This window comes from Homo sapiens, chromosome X (genome assembly GCF_000001405.40).
Source record: "Homo sapiens chromosome X, GRCh38.p14 Primary Assembly".
In the NCBI taxonomy this organism is placed as follows: domain Eukaryota; kingdom Metazoa; phylum Chordata; class Mammalia; order Primates; family Hominidae; genus Homo; species Homo sapiens.
In genome coordinates, this window is record NC_000023.11 from 155,650,756 (window position 1) to 155,665,103 (window position 14,348).

At 36.5% G+C, this 14,348-nt stretch overlaps 1 protein-coding gene across 4 annotated transcripts in view; it reads left to right on the forward strand.

The window, feature by feature from the left end:
• Positions 1 to 14,348, forward strand: part of SPRY3 (sprouty RTK signaling antagonist 3) — a 169,874-nt gene that overhangs the window by 38,170 nt on the left and 117,356 nt on the right. Inside the window, exon 2 of one of the 4 annotated variants that reach the window (NM_001394353.1) lies at positions 6,112 to 6,270. The exons of the other annotated variants lie outside the window; for them this stretch is intronic. The gene's annotated coding sequence lies outside the window, so the exon portion shown is untranslated. The remainder of the gene's footprint in view (positions 1 to 6,111; positions 6,271 to 14,348) is intronic. 4 annotated transcript variants of the gene reach the window in all.

Consider the following 14,348-nt stretch of genomic DNA (forward strand, 5'->3'; position numbering starts at 1 on the left):
GGTTTGATGGAGTGCCAAATTCTTGCTGGAAAGTTCCCAGACAAAAACTGAGCACTATGAAGATACTAGACCTTGGCTATTTCTACCCAATGCAGCATTCTTCTACAGTCACTTAAGTACAGAATTCTTCAATAGCATCATTTTTCATTTCTCTGAGATAAATTCTCAAGAGCACAGTTTCAGGGGCATGTGGTAATTACATTTTTATTTTTCTAAGAAAACACAAAGCTGTTTTCCATAGAGAATGTACTATTTTATATTCCCACCAACAATGTATCAGTGATCCAGTTTCTCTGCATCCTAACCACCATTGATGTTATCACTTTTTTTTTTTTTTTGAAACAGAGTCTTACTCTGTTTTCCAGACTGGAGTGCAGTGGTGCAATCTTGGCTCACGGCAGCCTCCACCTCCTGGGTTCAAGAGATCCTCATGCCTCAGCCTCCTGGGATTACAGGCATACACTACCACACCCGGCTAATTTTTGTATTTTTAGTAGAGACGGGGTTTCACCAGGCTGGTCTTAAACTCTTGGTCTCGAGTGATCTGCCCACCTCAGCCTCCCAAAGTGCTGGGATTACAGGCATGAGCCAGCTCACCCAGCCCAGGTATTTTTAAGTTTAGACATTCTGGTAGGTTTATAGGGGTATCTCATTGTGCTTTTAATTTGCAGTTCCCCCTGGTGGCTAATGATGTATTTTCTCTTTTCATGGCCTTATTTGCAATTTGCATACTCCTTTCAATGAAATGTCTATATCTTTTGTCCATTTCCTAATTATTGAATTTTGAATTTTAAAAATATGTTCTAGATACTAGTCCTAGATTTACAAATATCCCAGTCTGTTGCTTGTCATTTTATCCTTAGAGTTTTTGCAGAGCAAAAGGCTTTAAAATTCTGATGAGGTCTAACTTACCAATTTTCATTTTATGTATCATGCTTTTAACATTTTTTATTTTAATTTTATGGGTACATAGTATATGTATATATTTATGGGGTACATGAGATGTTTCAATATAGGCATGCAATGCATAATAATCATATCATGTAAAATGGGGTATCCATTCCCTCAAGCATTTATCCTTTGTGTTCATATTAGTCCATTCTCGCATTGTTATAAAGAACTACCTGAGACTGGGTAACTTATAAAGAAAAGAGGTTTAAAATTGGCTCACATTTCCACAGGCTGTACAGGAAGCATGGCTGGGGAAGCCTCAGGAAACTTACAATCATGGCAGAAGGCAGAGGGGAAGCAGGAACGTCCTACATGGCTGGAGCAGAAGGAAGAGAGCAAACAGGGAGGTAGAGGTGCTACACACTTTTAAACAACGAGATCTCATGAGAACTCACCATCAGGAGAACAGCGAGGAGGAAATCTGCCCCCATGATCCAATAATCTCCCACTAGGCCCCTCCTCCAACATTGGGGATTACAATTTGACATTAGATTTGGGCGGGGACACAAATCCAAACCATATCAGTGTTATAAACAATCCAATTACACTCTTTTAGTTATTTTAAAATGTACAATTAAATTATTATTGACTATAGTCACACTGTTGTGCTATCAAATACTAGGTCTGATTCATTCTTTCTAACTATTTTTTTTTTATCCATTAACTATCCCCACCTTCCTTCACCCCAGCCCATTACAACCTTTCCCAGTCTCTGGTAGCCATCCTTCTACTCTCTATCTCCATGAATTCAGTCGTTTTGACTTTTAGATCCCACAAATAAGTAAGAACACACAATGTTTTGTCTTTCTTGCCTGCCTTATTTCATGTTGCAAATGACAGGACCTGTTTTATTTCTTTTTATGGCTGAATAGTATTCCATTGTGTGTATATATACCACATTTCATTTATACATTTATCTATTAAGGGACACTCGGGTTGTTACCACTGTTGGGCTACTGTGAATAGTGTTTCTATGAACATTTGTGAGCATATTTTTGGTTGGATATTTGTTTTTGAGTCTCTTGAGTAAATATCTTGGAGTGGAATTGCTGGATGATATAGTAACTTTATGTGTAAGCTTTTGAGTAACTTCCAGAATGTTTTTTGCCATGATTGCACAATTTTAAATTCTCGTTGATGGTTCAGTTTATCTACATTCTCACCAACATTTGTTATTTTCTGCCATTATTGTTATTATTAGCATCCTAATGGGTGTGAAGTGATATCTAATTGTTGTTTTGATTTGCATTTCCCCAGTGATTAATATTGAGCCTCTTTTCATGTGCTTACTGGCCATTTGCATATCTCCTTTAGAGAAATGTCTATTCAAGTCATTTGCTCATTTTTAAATTGGGTTGCTTTTCTCATTATTATTGAGTTGTAGGAGTTACTCATATATTCTGAACACTAGATCCTTATCTAGTTATCAGATATATGGACCCTTATCTAGTTATCAGATATATGATTTGCAAATATGTTCTCTCATTCTGTCTTTTCACCTCTTAATAATGTCTTTTGATGCACTAAGGTTTTGAATTTTGATGAAGTCCATTTTATGGTTTTTAAAATTTTGTTACTTGTGCTTTTGGTGCCATATCTAAGAAACCATTGCCTGATTCAACATCATGATTTATTCCCAAGTTTTCTTCTAATATTGGTACAGTTTTAGCTCTTATATTTAGGTCTTTGAACTATTTTGAGTTAATTTTTATACATAATGTTAGGTAAAGGTCCAACTTCATTCTTTTGCATGTGGATATCCAGTTTTCCCAGAACCATTTGTTGAAGAGACTGTTCTTTCCCCATTGTATGGTCTTGGCATCCTGGTTGAAAATCAATTATACATAGATGTTTGGGTTTATTTCTGGATTCTCAATTCCATTTCAGTGATTTATAGATGCCATTGTCTATCCTTATGCTAGTGCCACATTGTTTGGATTACTGTAGTGTTATAATAAGTTTTGAAATTGGAAAGTGTGAGTCTTCCAACTTTTTATTTTGTTTTCTAAATTGATTTGGCTACTTGGACTCATTGCAATTCCATATGAATTTTAGTATTGTCATTTCCATATCTATAGAAAAGGTTATTGGGACTTTACATATAATAGGAAAACCAACTGTTTTTCCTACTCTCATGCTTAGCACAGACCACTTCTGGTCACCAAATTACATATGGGGATTTCTCCACACCAACAATCTATTCTCCTGTGGACACCCACTTGGTGTCCTATAATTAAATTAAATTATGACACCATCTGCCTGGAAACAATGTCAGATCCCACAGGTTAAGGGCTCAACCCTGCAATACTGTGTATATTCAGATGCCAGTTATAAGTAGTAGCTTGTCACCTATACTTCTGACAACTAGCTATAAATCAGGATTCCTTTGACCTTTCCCTCAGTTTAGATTAATTTGCTAATATGGCTCATAAAACTGAGTCTATATATTTAAAGTGGGTTTGTTGTAGACAACATGTAGTTGGATTTTATTAAAAACCTACATTGGCAATCTTTTTTTGAATTGGTGCATTTAGATCATTTATATTTAAAGTGGTTATTGATTTTTAAAATGTATATCTACCATATTTGGTAACTATTTTCTGTTGCTTTTTACATTTTTAAAATTTTTATAGATTTAGGAGATAGAAGTGCCATATTTTTGTTATGTGGATATATTACATAATGATAAAGTCTGGATTTTTGGTTTACTCATCACCTGAATAGTGGCTCTTATATCCTTAGGTAATTTTTCAACCCTCACCCCCTCCTACTATCCCACCTTTTAGAATCTCCAGTGTCTACTATTTCACTCTGTATGTCCATGTGTACTCATTTTTACTTCCCACTTACAAGTGAGAACATGCAGTTTTCAACTTTCTGTTTCTGAGCTACTTCACTTAGGATAATGACCTCCAGTTCCATCCATGCAACTGCAAAAGACATGATTTCATTCTTTCTTATGGCTGCATAGTATTCCATGGTGTGTGTGTGTGTGTGTGTGTGTGTGTGTGTGTGTGTGTGTGTGTGTATAATATAAAATCTTCTTTATCTAATCATCTGTTTATGCACACTTAGGTTGATTCCATGACTTTGCTATTGTGAATAGTGCTGCAATAAACATATAAGTGCAAGTATCCTTTTAATTAATGATTTCTTTTCCATTGGGTAGATACTCAATAGTGAGATTGCTAGATTGAATGGTAGTTCTATTTTTCGTTCTTTGAGAATCCCCACACTGTTTTCTGTAGAGGTTGTATTAATTTACATTTCCATCAACAATGTATAAGCATACCCTTTCCTCTAAATCCTTGCCAACATCTGTTGTTTTTTTGACTTTTTAGTAATAGCCATTCTGACTGGTATACAATGATATCTCATTGGGGTTTTAATTTGCATTTCTCTGATGATTAGTGATGTTGAGCATGATTTCATATATTTGTTGGCTGTACGTCTTCTTTTGAAAAATGTCTGTTGTGTCCTTTGGCCATTTTTAATGGGGTTATTTGGGATTTTTTTCTTGTTGAGTTGTTTGAGTTTCTTGTAGATTCTGGATATTAGCCTTTTGTTAGATGCATAGTTTGAAAATATTTTCTTCCATTCTATAGGTTTTCTGTTTACTCTGCTGATTCTTTTGCTGTGCAGAAGCTTTTTAGTTTCATTCCCATTTGTCTATTTTTTGTTTTGTTTCATTTGATTTTGGGGACTTAGTCATAAATTCTTTGTCTATGCCAAAGTCTAAAGAGTTTTCATAGGTGTTCTTCTAGGATTTTTTATAGTTTAAGGTCTTAAATTTAAGTATTTACTCCGTTTTGAGTTAATTTTTGTATATGGTGAGAGATATGGGTCCAGGTTCATTCTTCTGCGTATGATGATTAAATAGTCCCAGCACCATATATTGAATAGACTGACCTTTCCCCAGTGTGTATTTTTGTTGGTTGTGGATACGTGGCTTTATTTCTGGATTCTCAATTCTCTTCCATTGACCTATGTGTCCATTTTTATACCACTACCGTGCTGTTTTTGCAGTGACTGGTACCGGTTTTTCCTTTCCATATTTAGTGCTTCCTTCCAGAGCTCTTGTAAGGCAGGCCTGGTGGTGACAGAATCCCTCAGCATTTCCTTGTCTGTAAAGGATTTTATTTCTGCTTCACTTATGAAACTTAGTTTGGCTGGATATGAAATTCTGGGTTGAAAATTATTTTCTTTAAGAATGTTGAATATTGGCCCCCACTCTCTTCTGGCTTGTTGCATTTCTCCAGAGACATTCACTGATGGGCTTCCCTATGTAGGTAACCTGACCTTTCTCTCTGGCTGCCCTTAACATTTTTTCCTGGGTTTCAACCTTGGGGAATCTGACAATTATGTGTCTTGGGGTTGCTCTTCTTGAGGAATATCTTAGTGGTGTTCTCTGTATTTCCTGAATTTGAATGTTGGCCTATCTTGCTAGGTTGGGGAAGTTCTCCTGGATAATATACTGAAGGGTGTTTTCCAACTTGGTTCCATTCTTCCCATCACTTTCAGGGACCCCAATCAATCAGAGGTTTAGTCTTTTCACATAGTCCCATATTTCTTGGAGGCTTTGTTTGCTCCTTTTTAATCTTTTTTTCTCTAATCTTGTCTTCATGCCTCATTTAGTAAGTTGATCTTCAATCTCTGATATTCTTTCTTCCGCTTGATTGATTCAGCTGTTGATACTTATGTATGCTTCAAAAGTTCTTGTGCTGTGTTTTTCAGCTCCATCAGGTCATTTATATTCTTTAAACTGGTTATTCTAGTTAGCAGTTCCTGTAACCTTTTGTCAACGTTCTTAGCTTCCTTGCATTGGGTTTGAACATGCTCCTTTAGCTCAGAGGAGTTTGTTATTACTGACCTTCTGAAGCCTACTTCTGTCAATTCGTCAAACTCATTCTCTGTCCAGTTTTGTGCCCTTGCTGGAGAGGAATTGCAGTCATTTGGAGGAGAAGAAGCATTCTGGTTTTTGGAATTTTCAGCCTTTTTACGCTGGTTTTTTTCTCATCCTCATGGATTTATCTACCTTTGATCTTTGAGATTGATGACCTTTGGATGGAGTTTCTGTGTGGGCATTCTTTTTGTTGATGTTGATGTTATTGCTTTCTGTTTGTTAGTTTTTCTTCTAACAGTCAGGCCCCTCTTCTGCAGGTCTGCTGCAGTTTCCTGGAGGTCCACTCCATACCCTATTTTCATGGATATCACCAGTGGAGGCTGCAGAACAGCAAAGATTGCTGCCTGTTCCTTCCTCTGGAAGCTTTGTCCCAGAGGGTCACCGACCTGATGCCAGCCAGAGCTCTCCTGTATGAGGTATCTGTCAACCCCTCTTGGAAGGTCTCTCCCAGTCAGGAGGCACGTGGGTCAGGGACCCACATGAGGAGGCAGTCTGTCCCTTAGCAGAGCTCGAGCACTGTGCTGGGGGAACCCTCCTTGTCAGGATCTGCTGCTCTCTTCAGAGCTGGCAGGCGGGAATGTTTAAGTCTGCTGAAGCTACACCCACTGCCACCCCTTCCCCCAGGTGCTCTGTCTCAGGGAGATGGGAGTTTTATCTATAAGCCCCTCACTGGAGCTGCTACCTTTCTTTCAGAGATGCCCTGCCTAGTGAAGAGGAATCTAGAGAGGCAGTCTGGCCACAGCCGCTTTGCCATGCTGTGTTGAGTTCTGCCTAGTCTGAATTTCTAGGCCTTTTTAGTGTGGTCAGGGGAAAACTGCCTACTCAAACCTCAGTAATGGCAGATGCCCCCCGCTACCAAGCTCAATCTTTCCAGGTCAACCTCAGACTGCTGTGCTAGCAGCAAGAATTTCAAGCCATTAGTTCTTAGCTTGCTGGGCTCCACGGAAGTGGGACCCGCTGAGTGAGACCACTTGGCTCCCTGGCTTCAGCCCCCTTTCCAGGGGAGTGAATGGTTCTGTCTCCCTGGGGTTCCAGGCGCCACTGGGCAGGGGAGGAGGATGGGAAACTCCTGCAGCTAGCTCAGTGTCTGCCCGAACAGCCGCCCAGTTTTGTGCTTGAAACCCAGAGCCCTGGTGGTGTAGGCACATGAGGGAATCGCCTGGTCTGCAGATTGCAAAAACCGTGGGAAAAGCATAGTATCTGGGCTGGATATCACAGTCCCTCATGGCTTCCCTTGGCTAGGGGAGGGAGTTCCCCAACCCCTTGCACTTTCTGGGTGAGGTCATGCCCCACCCTGGTTCTGCTCACCCTCCGTGGGCTGCACCCGCTGCCTAACCAGTTCCAATGAGATGAATAATGTACCTCAGTTGGAAATGCAGAAATCACCTGCCTTCTGCATTGGTCTCACTGGGAGCTGCAGACTGGAGCTGTTCCTATTTGGCCTTCTTGCCAGCAGAATCTACTGTGCCGTTTTGGTTGCTATAGCCTTGTAGCATAATTTTCACTTGGGTAATGTGATACTTTCAGCTTGGTTCTTTTTGCTTAGGATTGCTTTGGCTATTTGGGCTCTTTTTTGGTTCCATATGTACTTTATAATTTTTTTTTCTAATTCTGTGGAAAATGACGTTGGTAACTTGATAGGAATTACATTGATTCTGTAGATTGGGCAGTATAGTCATTTTAACAATATTGATTCTTTCAATTCATGCACATGAGTTATCTTCCATTTAATTGTGTCATCTATGATTTCTTTCATCAGTGTTTTGTAGTTCGCTTTGTAAGGATGTTTTACCTCCTTGATTAAATACATTCCTAGGTATTTTAATGTTTGTAGCTATTGCAAATGACATTGAGTTCTTGATTTAGCGCTCTGCTTGATACTGTTTGGTGTATAGAAATGCTACTGATTTTTGTACATTGATTTTGTAGCCTTAAACTTTACTGAAGTCATCTTTAAATCTAGGAGTCTCTTGAAAGAGTCTTTAGTGTTTTCTAGGTATGAGATCATATGATCAGTAAACAGAGATAATTTGACTTCCTCTCTTCCAATTTGGATGACTTTTATTCATTTCTCTTGCCTTTTTGCTCTAGCTAAGACTTCCAGTAGTATGCTCAATAGGGAGTGGTAAAAATGGGCATCCTTGACTTCTTCCTGTTCTTAGGGGGAATACTTTCAACTTTTACCCATTCGGTATGATGTTGGCTATGGGTTTATTATATATGGCTTTAATTATTTTGAGGTGTGTTCCTTTGATGCCTAGCTTGTTGAGGGTTTTATCATGAAAGGGTACTAAATTTTATCAAATGCTTTTTTGCATCTATCTAGATGATCATATGGTTATTGTTTTTAATTCTATATATGTGGTGAATCACATTTATTAATTTGCATGTGTTGAACCACCCTTGTATCCCTGGAATAAGGAGCACTTGATTGTGATGTATTATCTTTTTGAAGTGTTGTTGGATTCCTTTTGCTAGGGTTCTTTTTTTCTTTCTTCTTTCTTTCTTTCTTTCTTTCTTTCTTTCTTTCTTTCTTTCTTTCTTTCTTTTTTTGAGACAGAGTCTCGCTCTGTCGCCCAGGCTGAAGTGCAGTGGCACAATCTTGGCTCACTGCAAGCTCCGCCTCCTGGGTTCACACCATTCTACTGCCTCAGCCTCCCAAGTAGCTGGGACTACAGGTGTCTGCCACCACGCCTGGCTAATTTTTTGTATTTTTTAGTAGAGACGGGGTTTCACCATGTTAGCCAGGATGGTCTCGATCTCATGACCTCGTGATCCGCCCGCCTTGGCCTCCTAAAGTGCTGGGATTACAGACGTGCGCCACCACACCCAGCCTTTATTTTTTGAGGATTTTTGCACCTATGTTCATCAGGGATATTGGCTTGTAGTTTTCCCTTTTCATTGTGTCCTTACTCTGCTTTGGTGTCAGGGTGATGATGGCTTTATAGAATGAATTAGGAAGGATTCCTTCCTCTTTGATTTTTGGAAACTATTTCAGTAAGATTGGTGCCATTCCTTCTTTGTGCATCTGGTAGAAATTAGCTGTGAATCCAGCCTTTTTTGAGGGAAAGATTTTTATGACTGATTCATCTTCACTACTGGTTGTTGGTCTGTTCACATTTTCTACCTTGTAGTTCAATCTTTGGAGGTTGCATGTTTCTGGAAATATATCCATTTCCTCTAGGTTTTCTAGTTTGTATGCATAGAGATGTTTATAGTAGTCTCTGATGATCTTTTGTATTTAAGTGATATCAATTGTAATGTCACTTTTATCATTTCTGATTGTCCTTATTTGTATCTTCTCTCTTTTTTTCCTGGATAATCTAGCTAGCAGTCCATCAATTTTGCTTATTTTGTTAAAGAACCAACTTTTAATTTTATAGATTCTTTGTATAATTTTTTGGTTTCAATTTCATTTAGTTCTGCTATGATCTCTGTTATTTCTTTTCTTCTGCTAGCTTTGGATTTGGTTTGTTGTTTTTCTAGTTTCTTGAGGTGTGACATTAGGTTGTTAATTAGAGGCCTTTCTATCTTTTGAATGTAGGCATTTAATACTATAAACTCCCCCTTAGCGGTGTTTTTGCTGTATCCCAGGATCTTTGGTTCATTGTGTCTGTATTTTCATTTGTTTCAAAATTTTCAAATTTCCACCATAATATCATCATCTACCCACAGATTATTCAGGAGCAGATTGTTTAATTTTCATTTACTTGAATAGTTTTGAGACTTCCTCTTGGTGTTGATTTCTAGTTATATTCCATTGCGGTCTGAGAAGATATTTAACAGGATTTTGATTTTTCAAATTTATTGAGACTGGCTTTGTGGCCTAGCATATGGTCTATTTGGGAGAAAGTTCTAGATGTAGATGAGAAGAATGTATATACTGCTGTTGTTAGGTGGAATGTTCTATAAATGTCTGTTGGGTCTATTTTATCTTGAGTCCAATTTAATTCCAGAGTTTCTTTGTTGATTTTCTGCCTCGGTGATCTGTCTAGTGCTTTCAATGAGGTGTTGAATTGCTGTCTATTGCATTGCTGTCTATCTCTTTTCTTAGGTCTAGTAGTATTCATTTTTATAAATCTGAGTGTTCCAGTGTTGTGTGCATATCTATCTAGGATTGTCATATCTTCTTGTTGATTTGATTCCTTTATCATATATATACTGACCTTCTTTGTCTTTTTTTTTTTTACTGTTGCTAGTTAAAAGTCTGTTTTATCTGACATAAGTAGAGGTGCTCCTGCTCGCTTTTGGTCCTGTTTGCATGGAGTATCTTTTTCCACTTCTTTACTTCAAGTCTGTAAATATCTTACCAGTTAGGTGGATTCTTTTGTAAGCAGCATATTTTTGGATCTTGTTTCTTTAAATCCATTCCACTAGTCAATATCTTTTAAGTGGAGCATTTATTCCATTTGCTTTCAAGATTAATATTGATATATGAGGTTTTGTTTCTGTAATAATTTTAATTGTTATATAGGTGTTTTTTAGTCTCGATTGTGTAATTGCTTTATAAGAACTATGTGTTTTATACTTTTTGTGTGTTCTTATGATGGTGGATATCATTCTTTTGTTTCCTTGTTGAAAATTCCTTTCAGCATTTCTTGTAGGACTGGTCTAGCGGTGACAAATTTCTTTAGCCTTTACTTGTCTGGGAAATACTTTATTTCTTCTTCATTTATGAAGCTTAGTTTAGTGGGACACAAAATTCTTGACTGGCAGTTTTCTCTTTAAGAAGACTGAAAATAGGACCCCATTCTCTTATGGCTTATAAGGGTTCTGCTGAGAAGTCTGGTGTTAGTCTGATGGGATTTCCTTCATAGGTGATTAGATGCTTCTCCCTTGCTGCTTTTAGTATTTTTTCTTTCACTTTGACTTTGGCTAGTCTGAAGACTATATGGCTTGGTGAAGGTCATCCTGTAGTCTGTCTTCCAGGAATTCTTTAAGATTATCGTATCTGGATGTATAAATCTCTAACAAGACCAGGCATTTTTTTTTCTGAATTATTTCCTCAATAGGTTTTCCAAACTTTTTACTTTTTCTTCTTCTCCATCAGGAATATCTATGACCTTGTATGGTTGGTCACTTTACATAATGCCATATATTTCAAAGGCTTTCTTCATTTTTTTAAAACTTTTTTCTTTATTTCTGTCTAAGTAGGTTAATTCAAAAGACCTGTCTTCAAGCTCTGAAATTCTTTCATCTGCTTTGTTTAGTCTATTGTTAAAGCTTTCAACTATATTTTGGAACTTCTCCAATGAATTTTTCATTTCCAGTAGTTCTGTATGGGTTTTTAAAAAAATTTTCTGTCTCTTTAGTAAATTTCTATTTATATCCTGAATTATTTTTCTGATTTCTTTCTGTTCTTTTCAACTTTCTCTTGATTTCCACTGGGTTTCCTTAAAATTCATACTTTTAATTCTTTATTTGCCATTGCAGAATTTTCATTTTGACTAGAATCCATTGCTAGAGAGCTAGTGTGATTCTTTGGGGTTGTTGAAACACTTCATTTTTTATACTACCAGAGTTCTTACACTGGTTCCTTCTTATCTGGATAAGCTGTCACTTCTCATTTTTGAATTTATTTTCATTTGGATGAGACTTTTTGTTTCCCCCCACCCCCTTGAGTGTGTGACTGTAGTGTATGTTCAGTAGAGTCATTTGGCAATTTTTCTGAGTGCTTTCAGGGGAACAGGACTCTGTACGAATGCCAGGGATATAAATAGGCTTAATGTGGTGGTTTTCTGAAATGCTGATTATCTGATTATAGTAGTGGTGTACTGGGGATGTGAACAAGCTCACTGCCTACTGTAGAGATAGGGACTTGGAGGTCTCAGGAAGCTTATCTCATTCTCCGGCACAAGCATTTTGTCAACAGGCATTGTATTGGGTTGTGCAGCTTTACTTCCAGGCCAGTAGGTGGTGCTTGCAGATAAAAGCCAGCTGAGCAATGTGCAGTTGTGTTAGCTGAAGTTGTAATGGTCTGTACAAGTTGACTAGAAATAAGGCCTTGGACCTTTGGAAGGCATATAATTGGATTTCTAAAAGACCTGCTTGCCATGTGAAAGTGTAGTTTGGCAAAAAAAAAAAAAAAAAAAAACTCTACCACCAACAGAATAGTTATGCATTCAAAGAAATTTTCTGGCTATGGACTATAAATAGGTCTTAACTAGGATGTGGGTTCAAATGCCTGTAAGGGAGATCAAAAGTGGATATAAACGTGGAAAAGTGGAAGAAGTTCAGCACAGGGTACACTGGTGACATCACCTAATTCCCCAAGAAATGTTCAGTTCTGAAAAGCTCTGGATAGAAGTGGCCATTTCAGCTGGCCACTACTGCACTTCTTTTGCCAAGGAGCTGCTTACCTATGAGCACCAGATTTCTAAGTATACATAAAAAGGCTATTTGTGTGTATTTGTTTAATGTAGTATTAGAGTTCTTCCAGAAGAAAAGCTTCAGAAAAAAACTGCTCAGAGAAATGTGCAAAGATTGTGATGTAGGAAAACTACTTATAAATGAGATGGATAAGCAACAGCATACCAAAGATTTTACATCCAACCAAGTTAAAAGACAAGCTGTAATGAATATGCAAGAACTCAAGAAATATTGTCATTATTCCTTCCTAAGGGATTTAATAGAGGACAAGCTTCAAATAAGCAAGAAACTATAGGAGAAGCTTGGGACATTTCTAATGGTGAGCAGTAACTATATTTACCTGTAAAGCTAAGAATAAATAATGGGGATGGAATGACAGAATAGAGTTAAACATTATATGGTCTGAAATATAAATATACTACAAATAATAAAAATGGCTATAGAAAGAGGATAGCCTTGTAAATATTAACTGGGAGTAAAAGGATATAGGTTTAAATCAGAGGCTAGGTCAGAAAGAGAGGAAAGGCAAAAAGAGGTTACCAGCAAATTTCATTATGACTCATGAGGGGAAACAATAGACAGTTTCTTTAAAATGGAGCTAAAAGCATTATATAAAGATATTAGCATGAAATAATAACTCTTCAAATGTTGTACTAGACCACTATCATCAGCATCTCTTGGAAAGTTGTTAGAAATACAAATTCTCATACCCTACTCCAGAACCGTTGAATCAGAAATTTTGGAATTGGGGCCCAGCAATGTGTTGTAACAGCTCTCTAGGAGATTCTGAGGTATGCTAAAAGTTTGAAAACCACTAGAATCAAGATATCATTAGAGCAAAAATACAATTTTTCTAAATAGCAAAAGATAGACCAAAATTAAAAACCAATGCAAACACAGTGAATTATTTATGGGTATAAGACACATACACATACAATATGCAAGAATGGACACCCCCTGCTCCCATAGCTACTATTTTTTTAATTTTTAATTTTTGTAGGTACATAGTAGGGGATTTATATTTATGGGGTACATAAGATGTTTAGATACAGGCACGCAATGCATAATAATCACATCATGGAAGATGGAGTATCCATCCCCTCAAGCATTTATAAGGGCAACAAAAATTACAAAGTGTATAGAAATAACTCTTATAAAATGCAATAATTTAAAAGTGTTTCCTCTTGAAGAAGAAAATGATAAAACTTTAATTACAATCTATTTTAAAGGCCTAAATGAACGTAGAGTTATACTATGTTCCTGAGGGAAAGATTTGTGAACATAAATGATTATTCTCAAGTTATTCCATACATTAAATGAAAGTTTAATCAAGATATCAACAATAAATATGGATTAAGGATATTATTCTTACAGAACTTGACATACTGATACTAAAATTCATATAAAATTGAAAATAGGTAATAATGATCATGACTATTTTGAGGAATAAGCATGAAGAACTGACATTACTAGATAGTGAAACTTACCATAAAGCCATAATATTTTTAAAAAGTGTAATATTATAGCATAAATAGACAAATAAATGGTGGAGAATCACAATGAACTTACAAATATACAAGAATAAATGATTAGTATATGACATATAGAGTATATAATAAATCAGTGTATGAAATGATGGACTTTCCAATAAATGGTGTTAGGATATTTGGTTACCCTTATGGAAACAGATAAAATTAGATCAATACTTTACACAATTTATAAAAATTTAATAATTTAATTTCTGGCAGGTTTAAACCCTAAGTAAAAATAATAAGAAGAGTAGAATACATATGTTTGTGGGGTGCGTGTGTGTGTGTGTTTGTGTATTAGTAAGAAGAAAGTAAGAAAAAAGAGAACAGTAGGAAGTCTTTATGATATCTAGATGGGAGGAGTTCTTTAATAAAACATAAAAACACAAGCCATAAAGGGAAAGATAAATTTAAATATATTAAAATTTAAAATATTTCAGTATAAGCAAAGGTAAAGGCAAGTTACAGACTGACAGAAGATATTTACAACTCACAAATGACAAACGTTTAAAATTCTGAATATATAAAGAATTTCTATAAACAAAAAAAGACAAATAACCAAATCAAAAATATAGATATAATATGAATCAGCAGTT